The sequence below is a fragment of the Homo sapiens genome, chromosome 4 (assembly GCF_000001405.40).
Source record: "Homo sapiens chromosome 4, GRCh38.p14 Primary Assembly".
Taxonomy (NCBI): domain Eukaryota; kingdom Metazoa; phylum Chordata; class Mammalia; order Primates; family Hominidae; genus Homo; species Homo sapiens.
Genome location: NC_000004.12, coordinates 61,483,896 through 61,506,653, shown reverse-complemented (window position 1 = coordinate 61,506,653; position 22,758 = coordinate 61,483,896). Strand labels below are relative to the sequence as shown.

The 22,758-nt window shown below is 33.1% G+C and overlaps 1 protein-coding gene across 59 annotated transcripts in view; it reads right to left on the bottom strand.

The window, feature by feature from the left end:
• Nucleotides 1-22,758, bottom strand: part of ADGRL3 (adhesion G protein-coupled receptor L3) — an 878,010-nt gene that overhangs the window by 571,682 nt on the left and 283,570 nt on the right. For 58 of the 59 annotated variants that reach the window (NM_001387552.1, NM_001322402.3, NM_001387522.1 and 55 more), the window contains one exon: nt 9,306-9,533. The exons of the other annotated variant lie outside the window; for it this stretch is intronic. In NM_001387552.1, the coding sequence (NP_001374481.1) occupies nt 9,306-9,360 (55 nt within the window). In that variant the 5' untranslated portion in view covers nt 9,361-9,533. The remainder of the gene's footprint in view (nt 1-9,305; nt 9,534-22,758) is intronic. 59 annotated transcript variants of the gene reach the window in all.

Sequence of the window (22,758 nt, the reverse complement as noted above, 5' to 3'; positions counted from 1 at the left end):
TTCAAACTTAGAAGAGTGATGACAGGTTATTTTATTGGGCTTAGAGTCTAATTAAAAGTGACAGAATTGCACTTTGAATAGCTTTTCAACACCCTTTAACATTTTTCTTTGAATGCTGATCTAAGCTTAAGATGTTCATTAGTAACTCATTAAAGACTTAGTTACAGTCCAGTGGGCGAGTCCTAAATATAATGATGGGATGTGTGTACAAACGTGTAGACTCATAATTAGAGAAACTGTCACACTGGGGATTAAGAATATACAATGCAGTCTTTGAAAAAGAACTGTGGAATGTAAGTGACCCCAAGATGGTGTTGTATTTTAAATTTTGCTTACTATTCAGAACATTTGTTTTTTTTGGTTCTAATTCCTAAAGGTATGTTTTAATGACCCCATTCTGCCAGGATTAAATGTGTAAGGCTTTGTATTAGGGCCTTTTTATACATTATTTTATTTAATCCTCATACTATAACAAAGTAGGCCTAATTACTCATTTAACAAATAAATAAACTGTGATTTAAACTCTTTAAGGCCATATATCTTGGAAGTAATAGAACTGGAGTTAAACTCTAAGGCTTAAGATCTTTCTACTCCATTTAATAGGACCATACAATATAGGATTCTAAAGCAGTTTAGATTAGATGATACTGTAAACTTCAGTTTCTGGGCTTCATGTAAGCAATGCTTCCTAAATATGGTGACATCATCTTCTATAGTTCCTGAAAACTACAGGAGCTATTCAGTATCAACATTTATTAACCATTAATTATCCTTGCCATATAAAACACCAGGTTCTCTGCTGATTTACATTTTTGTTTGTTTTTTTTTTATTAAAAGATGTGATGTGAGTCCAGAGGACACTAATATATAATATGTGGATTTGATAGAGAGATGCAAAGCTATAGGATTACTCTTGAGATGAACTACAAGAGGCATTCAGCAATTTGCAGAACATATTAGAGAAAAAACAATCTACAGAAGTAAAATGAAAGACTCAATATTTATAATTTGAACAAAGATATAAAAATATAAAAAAGAGGATTTCCAAAATCTCAAAAATATTCAGACTCGACCAAAAATAGAAATTTTTCTTGGCTACCAGAGTTTAATCATCTTCATCATTTTCTTAGGAAGAAATAATTGAAAACTAATAGAACTCAATGAATTGCCTTGCTGTTTTGTATACAATTCACCAGTATACAGGTCTCCTATAAAAATAAAGTTTCAATTATGGACAATTATTAATTTTTATAGTCATAATAACAATAAAAAAGTGAGGAGACAACCCACAAGAATGGGAGAAAATATTTGCAAACTATCATCTGACAAGGGTTAATAACTCAACAGGAAAAAAATCAATCTGATTTTAAAATGAGCAAAAGATGTGAATAGACATTTCTCAAAAGAAGATATGCAAATGATCAACGGGTAAATGAAAAATGCTCAACATCACTAATCATCAGAGAAGTGCAAATTATAACTACAATGAAATATCATCTCCCACAGTTAAAATGGCTGTTATCCAAAAACAGGCAATAACAAATGCTAGTGAGGATGTGGAGAAAGGGGAACCTTTGTCTGTCGGTGGGAATATAAATAGTGCAGCCACTGTGGAGAACAGCATGAAGGTCCCTCAAAAGACTAAAAGAACTACTGTATGATCCAGAAATCCCACTCCTGGGTATATGTGGAAAAGAAAGAAAATAAGTATTTTGAAGAGCTATGTGCACTCTCATATTTATTGCAACGCTATTCAGAATGGCCAAGATATGGAATCAACCTAAGTGTCCATCAATGAATGAATGGATAAAGAAAATGTGGTTACACATACACAATGAAATTTATCCAGCTATAAAAAAGCGATGAAATTCTTAAGCCAAACATAGAAAGACAAACATTGCATGTTATCAGTAATATATGAGAAATAAAAAAAATATTAAACTAATGGAGACAGAGAGTAGAATGATGGTTACCAGAGGATGGGAAGATTAGTGGAGAGGAGAAAGATGAAGAGAAGATGGTTAGTTGGTACAAAAATACTGTTAGGTAGAGGGAATAAGATCTAGTGTTCAGTAGCAAGATATGGTGACTATAACCAACAATAATTTATTGTATATTTCAAAATAACTAAAAGAGTAGAATTGTAATATTCCTAACACATATAAATAAAAATTTGAGATGACAGACACCCTAATTACCCTGGAGTAACTGATCCTTACAAATTGTATGCTTGTATCAAATATTATATGTACCCCATAAATGTGCACTATTAAATATCCATAATGATTAAAAATTATTTTTTTAAAAAAATTCTGAATGAATGAACTACTTTGAGGAATCAAATACATGAGTAAAAGGGGGCTGGGTACAGTGCTTCACACCCGTAATCCCAGTGCTCTGGGAGGTCAAGGCAGGAGGATTGCTGGAGGTCTAGAGTTTGAGACCAGCCTGGGCAACAGAGCAAGACTCCATCTTTATGAAAAAATTTTAAAAATTAGCCAGGTGTGGTGGCGCATGCCTGTGGTCCTAGCCACTTGGGAGGCTGAGGTGGGAGGACTGCTTGAGCCCAGGAGGTTGAGGTTACAGTGGGCTCTGATTATGCCACTGCACTACAGCCTGGGTGACAGAGTGAAACCCTGTCTTACAAAAAGGGGGTTGGAGAATTTGAAGTGATGAGGGTAGACAAATGGTGCATGATTCAACATAAAATAGATGAGAATTTAAGTGGGTAACTCCAGGCAAATAGCCTTCCAGAAAATCTGAAACATTCCCAAAACAAAAAAATGAAAAATGGTTGAAGTGACGAATATCCTAAGTACTCCAATTTGATCATTATAGACTGTATGCATGTATCAAAATGCTGTATAAGTACCCCCATAAACATGTACAAATATTATGTATTCATAAAAAATATTTTACTAATAACAATATTTGAAATTTTTACTTAAAATTGAAATTTTAAAAATAAAAAATTTAAAAGCTATTCTTAGAAAATATAGTCTAAAAATCTCTTAAAACTAAATGTCTTCTAATGATATCTTACCGTCTTTTCAAAAAATATATTTTTATGAAGAATGCTTATAATTTGACAATATAAAGAAAAATGACCCATTTATAAATAACCCAATTACACTGAGGATTAAAGTAAATAGTAATCCAAAGAATAAGAAAACAATGACTTTATATTGTATATTCAAATATTTTTAAATTTGTTCAACATTAAGTATAAAACAACAACCCTACAGAAGTCAGAGTCCACCACAGACAAAGAAATATAAAAAATAGGATAAATTACAAGCACCTCAAATAGTCACAATACACAAAATTTCAATATAGAAAAATGCTATTTTACTCCAAATATGTACACATCACTCATAGATTATTACTACAATTAAATTCATACGTAACACCTTTTGCAAGTACAAAAGCAAAAAAAAAAATTATTTTCCAATTGCCAACCTGCATACTGAGTATTTGGGGAAGTTTCTAAACAAATTCTTACACATAAAGTAAAGCTATCAGCCATGCATGTTTGTAGCTTACATTGTGGTATTAGCGACTGAGCAGTTAGCTTACAAAATACCTATTTTAAATCTCAGTACCCACTGGCTAATGTGGATGGCGTTGGATGTGTTAGCAGTAACCTCATATATCATTACCATGACACAGATTTTTCTGTATAATGTATTTGACTATAAACATAGTTATATTACTGCAGATATTACAAATTACCTAGGTTGGCAAGCGTTATAAACATTTCAAGGATGATTAATTTCTAAAAATAACCAAGTTAAGCAGAGCTTAGAAGTCAACCTGACTCTTTCACCACTAATAAAACACATCTTCATAGAAAGAATTATATGATAAAATGCCATGTAGTTAAGTGTAATTTTGTACTTTTTCAAGTTTCATATCTTTGAAGTTACAAAATATATGACTATTATCTTAAATCATTGACATTAGTATTTTAATTGTAAACAGAGATTAACAATAAAGTGAAAATTATATAAAAACAAATATGCATCTGATCATTCTTTTGTCCCTACTAAGAACTGTTTATTATAAGTAATTTGTTGCACATGATAAAATGCAGGCTAACCAGTAAAGTCCCTGAATATATAAATACAGATGCAACTTTAACAATAGAATTGCAGAAAAAAAAAAAAAAACATGTATAAGCTGGTTCTACAAGCATTTTTTTTACGTTGCAGTTTTCTTTTTCTGTGAAGACGCTATAAAACATACCGCTCGCCGTTATTCCTAGTTTAAGTGCCAGTGATCCTGCTTTGTACCTCTTCAACTATGATTCAGTTTTTACAAGTGAGGTTCAATTAAGCTGAGATGTAGTTGAAATATTTGAGCACCAGAATCACCTTCTGAACTCCCAATCATCTGGGGCTTAGGTGTAGTTACCTCCCAGGAACAGATCTCCCAGCCCAAGGTCCCACATTGGACCTTGATGTTTCTTTACTGCCTATCAAAATGAGCCCCAGGTACCTACGTTATTACTGGGTTTTGCTCTCCAATTTCCTTATTTTCCCTTGCTCCCAACCACATCAACAGAACAACAACAAAAAGAATCCTTTATCTTCATGCAACACTACAGTAGTACAGAGCAAAGAACTGGCCATCTGCTTCAGCTGCTCCTCTTTACTTCTGCCAGGTCTCATTGCATTATAGATAAGGATATTATGGCTCTACAGGAAGGGGACACAGTCATGGAAAACAGAAAAAGAGAAATACAGAAGTACACAGAGACACAGAATATGGACAGATAAACATAGAAGCAGGGACATTTCCTAATTTAAAAAATTGTACATATTTATGTGATATTGATGTACTTGTTTTGTTTTTCTATACAAAACATGGACCAGACTATTTAGAGCAAGTGGGGATTATTCAACTAACCTAAACATTATCAGAATTAATTCTTTAGCTTAGTCTCTGATTTTGTTCATGTAGAGATTATGCAAAAGTATAACACTAACAATTATATATAACCAATTAAAATAGTAGTTTAAACATTCCTACATAGTGAGAATAATTTTATTTAGATATTAGTAATATTGACAATAATTTTGTTTAGATGCTAGTATTTAGAAATGTTTGGCAAAACATAGATACTGAGGTTTGAGTAGAAAAAGATTTCTTTCCATTCTCAGGGTTAGAATAACAGTAATTACTTATTTTCCTTACCTAGTGCTCAGGGGTTTACCACTATTTCAAGGTAAGAAAGGAGCAGGGGAAAAAAATGAAAGGTTTATCAAATGCCAAAGCACCATGTTAGAAGTTATACATCCTTGCATTCATTTCTTAAAATAGCTCTGCAAGGAATAAATGTTCATTTTTACAGATAAAAATTATATTAAGCTACACATTTTTAGGTTACTGTAAGCTCAATGAGGGAAGAAATACAAGTCTGTTGTTCACTGTCCTGTCTTTAGTACATCTAGCAGTTTTCTGGCTTGTAGTGGGTAAATTAATGATATTTATTAACCAGTTGACAGATAAACAGGATTACAGAGCCAGTAGGTGGCAGAGCTGGAATTTCATCTCTGGTCTGTCAGGCTTCAGAACCACAGTCTGTCTGTCCCAAGAACATGGAAGAGGCAGATGGTCAATGTTTCTGCCTCACCTGCTCCCAAGTGACTAGGAGAGTTGAGATGAGATTCTATGTAAAGAGGAATGGCCTTGATAGGAATTGGATATCTACTGCCAGCAAGAGCAGAGCTCAAAAGCCAAGTCCTTGATTTTAAATTCCCTCTGTGTCCCTTAGTAGCTGTGTGATCTCAATTTACTTTACCACTGTGTACCTCAATGTCTTTACCTGTAAAGATAGTGATTATGATAATAACAAATAATGAAAAATAAACCCATGCAATTATAGTGAATATTAAGTGAACTAAAACATCTAAAGTTTATGGCTATAAAATCAGTAGTCATCATCATTATTTTCTCTGAGGAAAGGGATAGCAATTCAGATCATTACCCAGAAGAATTAATTCCCAATGGTCAAGAGGGCAAAAATTCTGGACATCTCAATAACAGTAGCAAGGAGACGTCAGCAGAGGACATGTTGGAACCAAAAGTACTTCTATAACTGTGACATACATTTTAACCCAGTCATCTAAGGTTTCAAGTTATGCAGTATTCTCTTAAGCCAGGATTGATAGGGACTCTAAAAATTCCTATCCTATTATATTTCAGCACTTGATCAAAGGTACATTTTTCTATTTATGAGCAAGTTAGGTTCCAAAAGGCTGCTTATAAAGCCCTTCATTCACAAGTCAGAAGTGGTATCACAAAGGCAAAAGAAAAAGCCTTCTTAAAGAAGGAAGACAAAACCAACTTGTATTTTCTCAGGTACAAAGTTTTAAAATAAAGGATAAAGTTTATAAGTAAAAAGCTTCTATATTGTTTTGTCCTCTATGGTTCAAAACTCAAGATAATATTGAATAGTCCACATAAAATGGAAATGATTATTTTATTTTTTTAACCCAGAGTATTTTACCTACCAGGTTAGTCTTTTATGTGTCCTATTATTATACTAGGGATTGATTTAATACTTCTAAGAATTACTTGGAGATATTCTCTCTCTCTCTCTCTCTCTCTCTCTCTCTCTCTGTTTCTGTGTGTGTATGTGTGTGTGTGTGTGTGTGTGTGTGTCTGTGTGTGTGTGATTTCAATGCAGACTATCAGTTCCCAAACCAAGACCCAAGACCCATGGCTCAGCCACATTTAGGGGTCCACTGAAATACATAGTATGTGTCAGTTTTAGGGACCAGGAATTTTAGTTCTGAAAAAGGAATCTTTCTTACAATGTCTGTTTCTGCTATTTTTAACCTAATTTTCTCTAACAAAGGTAATTTTAGATTGATCTTTTGAATACGAATTGTGTGTGTGTAAATATATATGTAGGTATTTTTCTTTTTTTCCTTAGTATCAACATTAAATATATCAGCTTTTATGGCTAGCTAATTCCTGGTTGTTATAATTTACTGGAACAAAAATTAACTAGAGGGATAGATTATATGATGAAGGAAATTCACATGTTCAAGCACTTAATATTTTCTATGCACTGTACTACATTATTTACATATGCTATTTATTTTATTCTCAAAATAACATTATAAGGGAGGAATTTTTATCACATAAAAAATCTAATTTAAGTCATCTTTACATATATGGATAATTAGAAAAGCATTGTCTCAAGTAACATAATTATTTTTATTTTCCCACATCACAAAATGTTATATGTGCCCATGCAGAGAATGTGAATGTATAAGTATATGAATTAAGAAAAGATTTTGAAATTTTAAACAAATTTGCTTAAAACAAGATGGTTGAGATTGTTGAATAAGTAGGATACTCCCCTTTTACAAACATCTCTACCTTATAATATAGTGAATTGTTAGAACTAAATATGTTGCATCCAGGGAACTTTAGAGGAAAACGTCAAAGGAAGTTATTTTACCCAGTATTTAGAATGACAGCAAAATGCAATGCATGTTAAAACTTAAGAACACAGGCCAGATTCAGAATTGCATCACTGACGAACTACAATGGGTTTCTGTAATCAATTAAAAACCAAAAGTGAGCTAAAGAGGCTAAAAATTCATTTCAGCTGCTTGCTACACTATAATATTCTGAGACCTAAGCAGTGGCAAATACAGCTGTGTCCTTTTTTCTTTGCTATAATTATCATCAACATATGAGAGAGTGACTATATTACAACATTTTCATCTTAGTGAAAAAAATCAATGATAATTAGCCAAAAACATTAAATTGTGTAAGAGGAACATACATATAGACTTTAATTTACCAGGTTTGAGAGAGATTCAGTGAATATTACTCTAAGTTGTACAGAATATAAATGTCTCGCTTATATATTAAATAATGTGATATATTTTATAAAATTTGCAAAGGTACATCCTTTCTAAACTATCATATTTCTGCTATAAATACAAAGATGTCTAAATGAACAACATTAAGTATACATGTCTATTAAGTATATTAGCATGTTTCCATAATCACACCTTTCTTTAAAAAGTGAAAACACACATTAATATTATTTTGTTATTGTGTATGTTTTCATTTTTTTTTTGAGACAGAGTCTCGTTCTGTCACCCAGGCTGGAATGCAGTGGCACGATCTTGGGTCACTGTAAGCTTTGCCTCCCGGGTTTACGCCATTCTCCTGCCTCAGCCTCCCGAGTAGCTGGGACTACAGGCATCCACCACCTGCCCAGCTAATTTCTTTGTATTTTTAGTAGAGACGGGGTTTCACGGTGTTAGCCAGGATGGTCTCGATCTCTTGACCTTGTGATCTGCCCAACTCGGCCTCCTAAAGTGCTGGGGTTACAGGTGTGAACCATGGTGCCCAGCCGTTCTTTTGATTTTTTATTTGTTTGTGTTTTTGCATTTCAAGGTATAGTACCAAAACAATTTCCCTTTATTGGGAGGTTATAGTTTGTGTTCTGTATATTAAAGATTGTGCAGAGTAGTAAATACTCAGAGAAAAAATAATTACTTGGTTTTGGAAAGCAGATACTTTTGAATAAGTGGGATTTTACTTTTGGAGTTTTCTTTCAAATGCCCAAATTTACTACATTAAAAATGTTTTTTTAAGTATGAAACTATGCAAGCCAAAAAATTCACAATAAATGAGATAATTAATATTTCAGCTGATTTTCCAAAAGTGTAGTAAAGACTAAAAATAAAATGCAAGAGCTCTTTTTAAAAAGCCTTTTGGTTTTAAATACATTTCAATAGGCACTTTAAGAAATGCAACTGGAAACTCATAACTATTTCAGCTTAAAATACACATTATGGGCTGGGCGCGGTGGCTCACGCCTGTAATCCCAGCACTTTGGGAGGCCAAGGAGGGCGGGTCACGAGGTCAGGAAATCGAGACCATCCTGGCTAACACTGTGAAACCCCGTCTCTACTAAAAATACAAAAAAAAAAAAAAATTAGCCAGGCGTGGTGGTGGGCGCCTGTAGTCCCAGCTACTCAGGAGGCTGAGGCAGGAGAATGGCGTGAACCCAGGAGACAGAGGTTGCAGTAAGCCGAGATCGTGCCACCGCACTCGAGCCTGGGTGACAGTGCGAGGCTCTGACTGAAAAAAAAAAAAAAAAAAGAAAAGAAAAGGAAATACACATTATGTTCTTTTATTTTAACTTACTCATACTAACATATGATAAGGAAAAACTACAAAGCAGTCTCAGAGAAAAGATCCCAAGGAAGTGTCCAGTATGAATAAGTGAGACAACATTAAGCATTACACAAAAATCTGAAAAATCTTACCATGAATTATTGGAGCTAAGAGCATCATGAAAATTAGTAGCTGCGATGGCCACATGGCTGTCTACTCAGGTATGGAGTATTCCTCAAGAATGACTGTTCAAATGTGAAACAAAATACGTATATTTCTAGTTTCTCTTCTGTATTCCAAGACTGATGATTTTTCTTCAAATTAAAAAGAAAAAGAATAATTTCTCCAAAACAGAAACACCAATATCCCAAATCTGAAACCTGCAAAAAAGAAAAAAAAAAGGGTTATTGTATAAAATAAGTAAGTAATCCAAAGACATTATTTATACAATACATATATTGCCATCATGTTAATATCCTGGCCTCAGATCTTAATGAAATAAACAATTCAGTCTCTACTGAGCAAATTAACTGAAATATACTGATTTTTTTTTTTTTTTTAAGATGGAGTCTCGCTCTGTCGCCCCGGCTGGAGTGCAGTGGCGCGATCTCGGCTCACTGCAAGCTCCGCCTCCCGGGTTCACGCCATTCTCCTTCCTCAGCCTCCTGAGTAGCTGGGACTACAAGCGCCCACCACCAGGCCAGGCTAAATTTTTGTATTTTTAGTAGAGATGGGGTTTCACCGTGTTAGCCAGGATGGTCTCGATCTCCTGACCTCGTGATCCGCCATCCTGGGCCTCCCAAAGTGCAGGGATTACAGGCGTGAGCCACCACGCCCGGCCTTTTCTTTCTTTTTTTTGAAATGGAATTTCGCTGTTTTTGCCCAGGCTGGAGTGCAATGGCACGATCTCGGCTCACTGCAACCTCTGCCTCCCGGGTTCACGCGATTCTCCTGCCTCAGCCTCCCGGGTAGCTTCACCCCAGCTAATTTTGTATTTTTAGCAGAGAGGGGGTTTCTCCATGTTGGTCAGGCTGGTCTTGAACTCCCGACCTCAGGTGATCCACCCGCCTCGGCCTCCCAAAGTGCTGGGATTACAGGCATGAGCCACTGCGCCTGGCTAAAAATACATATATATTATACCATGGTAAAGCTTACACAAAGTAAGCCCCATGGGGTTATACCACAGTATAATTATACCACAGTATAATTTCACTAACATTAGAATAGTAAAATATTTAATTCATCACTGTTACCATAAATAAGTTTAAAACAAAAGGTAAATATATGTCTTACTTTCATCTCAGGCTGCAATATTCATTCAGAAATTATTCTACATATTAACTACATTACTTTTCTAAACATCTCTGTAAATCTGTGAACATCATAGATTTATGTTTACAAAAGATGTTACTCTTTGTTTGAATGTCAAAAGCTTCATTCAGTACTGAAAATCAAGGCAAAGTATTATCTAAATAACAATGTACGATGATTAAAGACAGATTATTATGCCCGAAATTTCATTTTCATTTATGTTTCATTTATGTTATTCTAAATAGCTTGTTTTTAACAGTAAGCATATAGATACAAACTAAATTAAAATGCAGTTCGAACATCATTCATTCAACAGAGGTTAATTGAATGCTCACTAAAATACAAAGCAGTGGTCTAGAAACATGGAATAGAATATTGAAGAAAACATGCAACCTATTCTCCAGGATTGTACAATTCAAGATGAGGAATCTTGCCTAGAGGTGTCAAATATTAATAACTTTAAGCACTGAAAAAGTAACTTTATTGAACCAAACTAGTGTAGTTGCCTCCTCTTCAAGTCTTCCCAAGATTTATCTTAGGAAACCAAAATACTAAAGAAACATAATCCAAATCCTGAAGACACCATCTTTTACAATCAGCACCTTTCAAACTGATCAATCAAGCACAAATTGGGCCTTCCTTCCTTCCTTTCTTCCTTCCATTCTCTTCCCTTCCCCTTCCTTCCCTTCCCTTCCCCTTCCTTCCTTCCTTCCTTCCTCCTCCCTCCCTTCCTTCCTTTTTTCTTTCATTCTTTCTGTCTTTCTTTTCTTTTTTTTGTCTTGGAGATTGATACATATTTTCAATAATTTCAGAGTTTTAGAATTAAATTTTAAAATCTTCTCAAAAGGGATATTCAAAATTGTTTACTGATGAATGTATTAATACACTTCATTCTGTCAAAATAAAAACCAAAGTCTTTACTAAAAGGCAAAAATTACACAAATTTATCAGATGTTTTGATATTGTTATTTACGGCATGGTAGTTAAGAGCACGCATTCTGGAGCCAGACAACCTGATCTCAATTACTGTTCTACTACGTTGGGCAAGTCATTTAACTATATAGCATCTCAGTTCTCCTGTCGATGGTCATTTAACTATAGCATCTCCATTTTTTATCTGTGTAATGGGTAGGGTGATATTACTTAATTCATATGGTTCTATGAACATTAAATGAGTTAAAATTTGTAATTTTTAATTATATAAAATACGTAATAATAGCCAAGAACAGTGCTGGCATGTGGTAGGTGCTATAGCATTAGCAATTATTTTAACCTACTCATCCTTTCAATGTGAATCCATAAGAAGCAAGATCATTTGATAATTTAACTAAAAAATATTTATTGATTACTATTGTATACATAGGCTCCTACAGTACTAAATATGGACACAATATATATAAAGAGTTTTCTCTTTAATTTCATTGATATTATGGGAAACAAAGCTCATTCTAGATAATCTCATAATATTTTACCTTTACAAATAGAGAAAGCATTGACAAGAAACGAAATATTTGGTTGAGATAAAACAGAAACTAAGTGAAAAGGAATCATGGCAACATTTTCATTTTGTTTTCTCTTACCCAACTCTGACTCACAAGAAAACCTGAAAATCTATTCTCAATTGTCATAAGTGTATAACTCAGAAAAGAAATTTTGAAAGCAATTACTAATTTAAAATTACATTATTTAACATGCACAAAATAACTGACAGCTACTTGAAGAGGGATATTGAAGTGGACAGACAATTGTCAGATTCATGAACAAGATCACAATGCTCTATCCTAACAAACCTCAACATTCTTTTTCTGTGCCTTTTTTGCCTTCCTCTGTGACCATGGAGTATACGAGAGTCAAAAGTTGGTATCAGGAGATGTATGTATACACACACATACAGATACACATACACGTGCATACACAAAAATAGAAAGTAAATGTATATATAGCATTTCATTACTGGAAGAAATTATGAGCTGCCATCTAGATGAATTATTTATTCATTTTCTCAAACATGTATACTAAATTTCTACCACAGTAGATTTTATAGAAAATGCAAATTAGCAGAACAGTTTTTCTCACAACCCATACTGTAGTGAAAAAAAAAAAAAAACAGGACACAGTAAAGTAAATGAAGTCACAAGATAGAGAAGAATTAACCTTCCTTTAAGTACTTATCACATGCTACACATTGTGCTAGATATTACACAAATTTCCTAATGTAATTATCCATATAAATATATAAAGCAGATAACATTGTTCCATGTTTACTGAGAAGGAAAATCAGACATGTTATGTGTCTAGAATTTCAAGCCAAAATTACTTCAACATTAGTGCTCTTTCCTCTATGGCACAAATAAAGAAGAAAATGGATGAAAATAATTAGGAACGTTAATTGTGCAAAGGAAGGGTACAACACGGGATTTCCAAAGAAGACTTAGGCCTTGCTTAAATGAAACATTATTTGATTGTGAAGAGTGGAGAACCCGGAACAGCATGGATACATGAGGCAGGCAGGAAAGCACGCAGAGAAGAGAGGACAAAGAACACACAACGGGTGGTGCTTTTCAGGACACCACCCTAATTACAGTGGCGCATTTTTCAGAGGAGGAGAGAAAATTATTTCCATAGTGAAAGAGGAGTATTGCTATTGTTAACTCTGGCTTCAATTACAACTGGAATCATTTATTTCATATGATACATATTTTACAATGTTGAAACAATGGGTGAAAGTTATTTTATAGAAAGAATAAGGAAGTACATTTCTATTAGTTATTAACAATGATTTCTTCTAAGGTATTGCAGCAGGACATAGAGCCATCTCTACTCGGACATTTGACATTTGATTTAGGCATAGGGATTTGTTTCCATAATTATAATGTAAATAGAGGTGGGAAACGGAATTTATAAGAATAAAAGCTATTATTTGAAGAGGGTGACGTTCTCACATTCCAGCCTCACCGCCTGCCTCTCTCTTACTCACAACTCCAATACTGTGCTAATTAGAGGATATATATAATAAACTTGCAATAATTATACAATATGTTTTAATAGCTAATAGATTTCTCATAACCTACAGAAATATATATCACCACTCTGAATTATAACAGTTTTTTAAAAGAAAACATTTTATGATGATTTTTCCATTGAAGTGTTGTCATTAACTTCACCAAACAAATTTCTTTTCTTATAAAAATCTTAGTGGTTATCTGTCTTAAAACAAAACTAAGTTCACTATTCTTCACAATATCCAAAATTTAAAAGTAAAGTTGATTAAAATGACCTAATTTGCATCAATAATGTTTACATTTAGAATTTTAAAGTTGTGTTATTTGACATGAGTTCCACTAAAAGTTACAAAAGAATACAGTATGGAAAGAAATTCTACAAAAAGCTTAAATAACTAAAGTCTTCCCTCATCAACTACTTGGAAACTTCCTTACTTATTACCTATGCTAATTTTTATTCAAATCTAACACAATTATACTCTAAAAGAATTTCAAATTTTTTTGTTATTCCTTTCAACAAAAGTAAGTCTTCTAAATGGGAGACATTGATTTTATTTTCTGGAAACTTTCATCTTGAATTCTGGTGTCATAATTGTTTCCCCAGTTTTATTTTTTAATATTCTCTTCTTTTCAAATCATGCTAAAAATTTATATTTCTATCGTATATTAGCTTCCTTTCTATACACCAAACAGAGGTTAACATTAGAGTCTCAAAACTGCTTATCCTGGGAATGTGTTAGCTACTCTTAAATCACATTTCTGTAAGACAATTTACTCTCAAACATTCCCCAAAGTATACTGAATATGATTGTACCTTTTCCATCATAATATCATAGACAAGAAACTATATCTTGTTTATAAATGTTTAAATTTCCCCAACTCTTAACTTTTCACTTGTTATAAATTATAACTACAAATTCTACTTCAATATTGACTTTACAGATTTTTATCAATCCATAACTTATTTTGCATATTTACTCATATTTGTCATATACTTTTTGGAGGCCAATGTTTTCTGACATGTTTGGCACATACGAAATATAAAAAATGCCATTTGGCATTATTGTAATGGTGAATTGGTATATAGACCTATAGCCTAATTGCTAATTGTAATACAGGAGTTTCCCATTAAGCAATGTTTTTGTTTGTTTGTTTGTTTGTTTGTTTTTTTCATTGTTCCATAGAGGGAAATCATAGCTATGACCTTACAACTTACTTTAGGAGCATTCAGAATTATCACTTGGGTGTTATCTGTGTTCTTCCAGGGTTAGTATTTGGACTTTAAAATTTGAAAAATTTAAAACCATTTTGGTTTAAAAATCAAAACAAGCCTTCTCCATAAAGTACCTTTTTAATGATATAAAATTAATTTATAGTAACGTGGCATAAAATTGTATCAAGGTATAATTTGGCACCTTGATAAAATGGTAAAAATAATATAACACTGACGTATGGAGAAAAGAAATAAGGACAGGCATCGTGGCTCATGCCTGTAATCCCAACACTTTGGGATATCAAGCGGGGAATATTGCTTGAGGCCAGGAGTTCAAGACCAGCTTGGTCAACAAAGCAACACCCTGTGTCTACAAAAATAATGAAAAAGAAATGATATAAATTACAAAGAAGAATAACCAGTTGTTTTATTTAATCATTTGTCACTTCATTAACAAGTAAAGAAAATATCTGATATCAGAGCAACAAAGTAATCGTGATTTGTGTGCACATAGCTCTCTACCTTTGTAAATAATATCTGTCCATAGTAACCAAAGATAGCCAAGCATTTCTTAGAAATTTAACTTAGTAAAACTAGAAAATATATTTTAACTAGAGTAATTATGCATAAATGCTTAGGTGAGGGACTTAAATGCTTATTATTCAATTCAAGATTCCAGTATTTCCATTATTTTACAATATTGCAGAATCATAGGTACATTACAGCAATGCTTCATAATCCATGCCCTACGAAGTGACAGAGGACATCTCTCACAAAAAAATTATCGTTCCAAAAGTGGTTCTACATGGAAGACTCCTTCTGATGTGAATGAGAGCTCTATGATACAATTAACCCAGAGGAAAAGAGTAGGACAGCAAGAAGAAAAATTCCCTGAATATAACACAGGTTCTTTCCATCACCATCCTATCAAATGTTAATATATTTGGTATGATCATCATTGGGCAAAAGCAAAATGAGTTTTAAAGGAGTTTGAACTCAGTAAAATATATTATGTTTTGTAAATTTTAGCTATAATTTACAATGTCTGAAACCTACACATATGCTTCTCCTTTAAGGTTTTCTTGTTTTCTTGAAAAATTACATGTATTGTTTCTCAATTTACAGAGTGCATGTGAATACACTATGGAATTGTAAAGCATCATTAGTTTGGGTCCTCCCATTATTCATAGAGTTTCTCCTGAAACTCTTGGTTTCAGAGTTTCTGAAAACCAAGGCACTTACAGTAAGACTCAAGGATCTTTTCTTTTTTTTTTTTCAATATTGAGGGGGTCAAATAACCTTATATTAAATAAGTATGAAGAAAGCATTTAACCACTGAGTTTAGTCAGCAGCAACAATGAGTTAAATGTTCTAATCATGAATACTTTCTTAAATAGTGCTAACACCCTTTGGAAATTCATAGAGGACAAACTTTCAATCATCTTCTTTAATATTTTCAAGAAACATTTAATTCAACAAATTTACATGTGTGTTTCTTTGTTAATTTATTACAAGTATGCACTGTGTTTGGTCATGGGGTTATGGTAAGATATACAAGGCATAATTCCTGCATTAAAGAAGGAGGAGGAAGAACCAGTGAAAGAGGAGAAGGAAACAATGAGGAAGAGAAGGAAACAATGAGGAAGAGAATGAAGATGAGATAATGCAGTAAATACAAGTGGTAAAATATAAATCCAAATTTGATAAAGAAGAAGAGAGTTGAAAAAAACCGAGGAGATAACACAGCTTGAAAGATCTGGAAGATCTGTGAGAGTGGTAATTGTGCTATAATTTGAAGAATGGCTAAGATCTCACTCAACAGTAGGTGGAGGAAGAACGTTTTGGATTAAGAGTTGCTATGGTAAAGGTAAAGAGGTGGAAAAAGGCAGCGTGTTGCAGAACTGCAAGTCATCTGGTTTCTCAGGAAGAAGTGAGGAGCAGTAGACAGTAATAGGAAGAATCTATTAGGGTGGAATAGGAAATATTTTGAAGGCTATACCAAGGAATATAAATTCATTTTGATTGGTTGCAAATCATGAAATTTATAATAGTTAAAGGCACAAAATATATCAACACATATAAATTACTCCAAGTATTGTCTTTTAAGAGTGGGGGTAAATATTTACAGCAAATATATCCCCAAAACTGTTATAATCCTCTATATTGCTCCTAAATATTCAAACATTTTGTTGCAAATTCAATTTTTTAAATATCTTTGGTTTGATATGAGGAGCCTGAATCAATAGAGGTGTTAAATGAATCAGTATATTAATAAACTATTATTTAGATAGTGACATCACAGAAAAAAATGCAGCTTTTGCATTTTTTAGTATAATATTTTTGTCAGAGTTCCAGATTTGCATAACACAGCTTAGCAGTCATTATGCTATTTGAGATCAAATATTGATTCCAGATAATTACAGCACTTTTAGATAGAATGGTATTGTTCTGCATCTGGCAGTAATGACTTATCTGGATAGATGTATATTTTATAACACATTCAAGTCAAACACAACTTGGAAGAAATTTCGTCTATAATAAATATGTATTTACCTTGACCTAGAACTGAATGTAGCCATATTTTCCTAGTCCTTTATATCTGCATAGATTTTTTTTTTTAAACTAAGCTACTGTTTTCAAGTATAAAACATCAAAAAGTCTGGGTCATGAGAAGCAGCATGAATACAGGACATAATAGGAGCTTTAGAGTGTGAAAAGGACAGTTTTAAGTCCTTTCTCTTTGAGTTGTGAGCTGTATGACATAAGCAGATTACTTAAATTTTCTATACCCTAATGTTCACATCTGAATTTAATACTTATTTTACCAGGTGGTTTAAGGCTTAAATAAAGGTAATATATATAAGAAGCTATAAAGCTTCCTGGCAAGAGTAGGCATTCGATTAATGAGAAAAATTCTTGTTCTCATTTAGTGAAGGATTTATATTTAAAAGTGGGGTCATAAATGGTAAATGAGATTGCATTTAGTGGTAAGTGGGATAGAAGAACATTCGATAAAAGATTGTGAGTGGTCAACTAGAAAAGGGGATAGAATCAGAAGGTCCATTGTAAATACCATGCTTTTAGAAGATTAAATTGGTCATGGTACATAGGAGAAAATGGAGAGAAAAGAAAAATACCTTAAGCAATCTGTGTCAGTAACAATATTTGCCAGAGTTAGTATGGTGGGAGTTCACAATGACCTATAAGTCCAGCATGTGATTTAAATTAATAGATTATTTGAAGAACGTTAAGTCAACAATTTTTCAAGTTGTAGAAATATCACTGTAATGTCTTGTCAGTGTGGAAGTAAACAAAAGTCAGGAGGGAAAACGGAAAAAAACATAGGATGGGCACGGAAGATACAGTAAAAAGTTGAATCAAATTGGGAGTAGGGAGAGTAGTTCAGGTATAAAGTGACACTTGCACTAGAACTTTGAGTCATGCCTCCATTCTTCCCTCATTTCTTCCCTGCAATACCCTACATAAGTTTCAGAGAGATCAGAGCAAGGAAGACTTATTTATCTTCAGTGAATTTTATGGTTAACCTTAATTTTAAGGTTACCCAAAACATGTTTCAAGCAATGAAATGCTAAATCTCAACACATCATCTGAAACACTGGCAAATAATATTTATTTTTTTATCACTGAAGTAAAAAAGGCACTTCCCCTTATAATTATATTTTAAATACATAACTTGATGCTAAGTTAGAAGACAATCTCTCTAGGGTAATTTTAATAGGAAACTTTTCTAGCATAAAAGTTTCATTTAATTGTCTCTCAGGTAGTGTTGTGATCTAATAAATGTCTATTAATGTTTAGAAACAAATTTATATTTAATGAACATTGCTATTTTTTGGCTTTAGAGCAGCACATCTATTATCTATGAAATAGATTAATGTTCGACACAGGATCACTTTCTTGTGAAGTGCCCTTGAGTTAACATCTTTTCTGAGATCCCACAAAGCATTTGATTGGAGAACATTACCAATAGGCTTTGATAATATTTGTCTATATTGATACGTTCAACTGGAAATAAAATCAGTGAGTTTTAAACTAAAGGTGTAAATAAATAATTATGTTAAAATCAATTAATTTGGAAAACACTTGCTTGACTCCCCAATAATTAAAACTAAAAAATGAACCTCATGTTCTTTCTATATATACAATTGGTAAGATAGAACCTTTGCTCTTTAAAAATAAAATCACGCATAAAATCTCAAATATTCATGATAACTAGTTATGAAAAACAAGTCTAAATGAACATAGCTATACTTTTAAAATATATTTTAAAAATTAACAATTATTAACAATATGCCATTTAAGACAATAATCAAGGATTGATTTTTATGATTCCAAGTCTACTAGAAATCAGGAAAGGCAAGTAAGCTACACTTAAAACATTCAGAACATAATAGGTGTCTACTTCAAAGTAAATAAATTCAGTTCAAACAGGAATGTATGAATTTATTCCAAAATCTACAGAGAACCAAGAAAAATAATCATCTTCCTAATAATAACTACTAACATTTATTAAGCCCTTACTGTGCCAGACACTGTTCTGAAAGCCTCCCATGTATTAACTCATTTAATTGCTTCTAACTATAAACATTATTGTATATCCTATAAAAACTCCATAAGGAAGGGGCTATCTTATTCCTAATTGGCAAATGAGGAAATCGAGGGATGGAGAGTTAAAGAACTTGTTGAGGCCACATAGTTAAAAGTAATAAAGCCCAGATTTGCATCAAAGCAGTCTAGACCCAAGGTTTGTGTTTTCAGTCATTAGATTCTACTGCTTCTCGTCACCTATACTGACTACAGATTCTGTAGCATACCTTATGTAAAGGAGCTTATGTGAGGAGCTTTCAGCTAGGTGTGATTAGTCTTTAACTTGTAGGTTGAATGGAGTGAGGTGAAGACCTAGAGTATAGCTATACACTAAAATATTAAAACAAACTTTAGCCTGCAAGAATCATGCCGTAAACAGGCCTTCAATATCTTCACTCTGAATAATTTTTATCTGGCATTATATATGTCTTTGGCACATCTGAAGAGATAGCAATAACCCATTTTACTCATGCATGTATTGGGTAAATGAAGGGCAACATCACAGATTTCATTAGGAGAGTAACCAAGAACCATGATCTTCCAGGATCTCAGAAGGCAAGCATGTGCTTTTTAAGTTACAGCAAAAGTTTAAAACAATCAGAAAAAAAGAAAGGTTTTCCCAAATAAAAGTTTTTAAAAGATTTCAAAATATATCAGTATGATTTCAATCAGTAAGAGTATTTAATTCTGTTATTAATTTTCCTTAAAAGGGAACTGAGATTATTCTGAATATTACTGAGAATAACCAAATATATCTTCAAAGTTGAATTAGTTGTGACTTTCTCATACTAATTCTAACTCAAAGATGGAACTTGGTATATGATAGGTCAACGTATCCTCGAATGTTTCTAATATTTGCTGGATTTTTACTATCTTAGAGCCTTTATGATTAGGATAGACTAATAAGCCTTACACCTATGGCAACTGTATAAATAAAATCACCTGAGTAGTTCATGATTGATAATTGTGACAATATATCGCATCTAGTGACAATGTGTGTTATAAATGGAATTCCAGGATTTGATTTAAATATAAAATCAGTATCATCCTTATCCTGTGAAATTCTAAAATCATTATCAATGCAACTGGCATTATAGTCAAGTTTGGTTAAAAAAAATTCCATAGCCGGGTATGGTGGCTCACACCTGTAATCCCAGCACTTTGGGAGGCCGAGGTGGGCAGATCATGAGGTCAGGAGATCGAGACCATCCTGGCTAACACAGTGAAACTCCGTCTCTACTAAAAATTCAAAAAAATTAGCCAGGCATGGTGGCGGGTGCCTGTAGTCCCAGCTACTCGGGAGGCTGAGGCAGGAGAATGGCGTGAACCTGGGAGGCGGAGCTTGCAGTGAGCCAAGATTGTGCCACTGCACTCCAGCCGGGGCGACAGAGCGAGACTCCATCAAAGGAAACAAAAAACAAACAAACAAACAAACAAAACAAAAAAAAAAAAGCATTCCATAGCTGAGACTAATGAGCTTTAAATATCTTCTTAAATAATCCAAATCCTATTAAGCTACAGTATGCATTTCAGGGTCTAAACTAGGAAACATCTCACTTCTTAACACTGTTTCTCTGAAAACAATGACAGTTTCTAAGTAACTGACTTAAAAATAAAGCCTAGAATAGAGAAGTTGTAAGAATTGAGGTAGTAAAGTCAAATTCATCCTATTCCAACTCCTTCCAGTGGATAAGGAAAAAATACACATTTACTTACACTTTCTTTGAACACTTTCCAAGACAAAAAGGAATGCAGGGGAAGGTATATCTCATCATGAGCTAGGTTAACATAACATAGTTTCACTGAGGTTTGGTTATCATGAGGGTCAGTCACATATATCTCTTTCACATAGACAATTTGAGTTTAAAACGCTTGATATTCACATTTTTAAAAAATTTCAATATTTTTTCAAAAGGGGCTTAAACAGTAATGAGAAAAGATTACTGTAAAATAATGGAAATAAATACATCTATAGCAGAAAAATTAACAAATTTAAAAAATTCTTTACATAAAAAGGATATCTGTATAATAAGTCTTAAATTGTTCTTGAGATTATGAAAGAAATGTGGTCTCTTTTGCAATTCACAAAATATCGCAATATAATTTTCCCATATTTCATTCTCAGTAGTTAGTGTATCAGTAGCAACCGGGCAAGAGAGAAAATACACATGTTTTGAAATTATCTCATCTCAGTACGGTGCACCTAGGTGGGTCTCAAATTAAGCACCTTTCTTAATGGCCCATTATAGAATATCAGTGCCCAAAATACCCAAAGGGAGGCAGGGACAATTACTGCCAAGGGAGAGTTTCTAAAGTTGTGCTAGATGATGCAATATTTCTGCTGTAACTTTAGCCTGATTAAGAGCTTATTTAAATACATATTTATGGTTTTGAAATCAATAGCTAACATGGTAAGTTTACAAAGACACATTTTGAAAATATAAGTTCAACATAGTTTTTACAGTAATGGTTTGATAATTTGCATTTATACGTACCTACCAAATTATGTAATAGGTGGTTTTACAAAAGCTAACTTTTAAAATAGATGATTGAGCCACAAAGTATAATCTCCATGGGGAAGAATATAATACTGAAAGTAATTTTAATCTTTGAAGTTCTTCATAATTATACCTAATTATTGAATTATTCAATTATAAGAACACTTAAAATGCATATAACTTAGTAGAATAAAATAATAATAATAACAGCTTTTTTGAAGGGTTCTTAATAGGTGCTAATACGCTGATGACATTATTTCATTTCATTCTAACTATGATAATGTTTAATATTTGGCTCCAGCTGGAAATAAAGTAAGGGAACACAAGTTGACTGTGATGGAAAATCCATCAGAAACAACCAAGCTGGCAGATTATTAAAAATATGATATCTAATAGTCTTAAGCTAACATTTTATTTAAATCCTCGCAAAATTGACTTCACAGTGATGACCAATAAAGCAGTGATGACCTAACTAAGGAAAGTATTAGGTAGGGATATTGACATTCCAACTTCCAGGATAAGAAGACTGCTTTGCAGTCAAAAACATCTCCTCAGCTTTTAGGGTTTTAATTGGTAGTCAAAACGGAAAATTGGTAGGCAAAATGGCAATAGATCCAACAAGTGGAATGGATCCATTTGTTCCATTCATCTCACTTAGCCTTATCAGTGTAGAAATTGAACTGGAGCAGCATTAGGATAAACTATAAAGCAACGTATCATGTTCCAGGAGTCACTTAGCAAAAGGTTGTGAGAAAACAATAAGTAAAAAAAAAATCGGGGATGAGGGGAGAATTTCCAAGTGATAGGACCTAAGTAGAAAAGGAATCACTGGACTAATCTGGCTAATATCTTTAAATATATGAGCAGAATTTATTTAATATATTTAAATATATGAGCAGAATATATTATAAGTTAGGTCCTATTTATATGCCCATAATTAAAGAACTTTATAACAGAACACACTATACTTAGT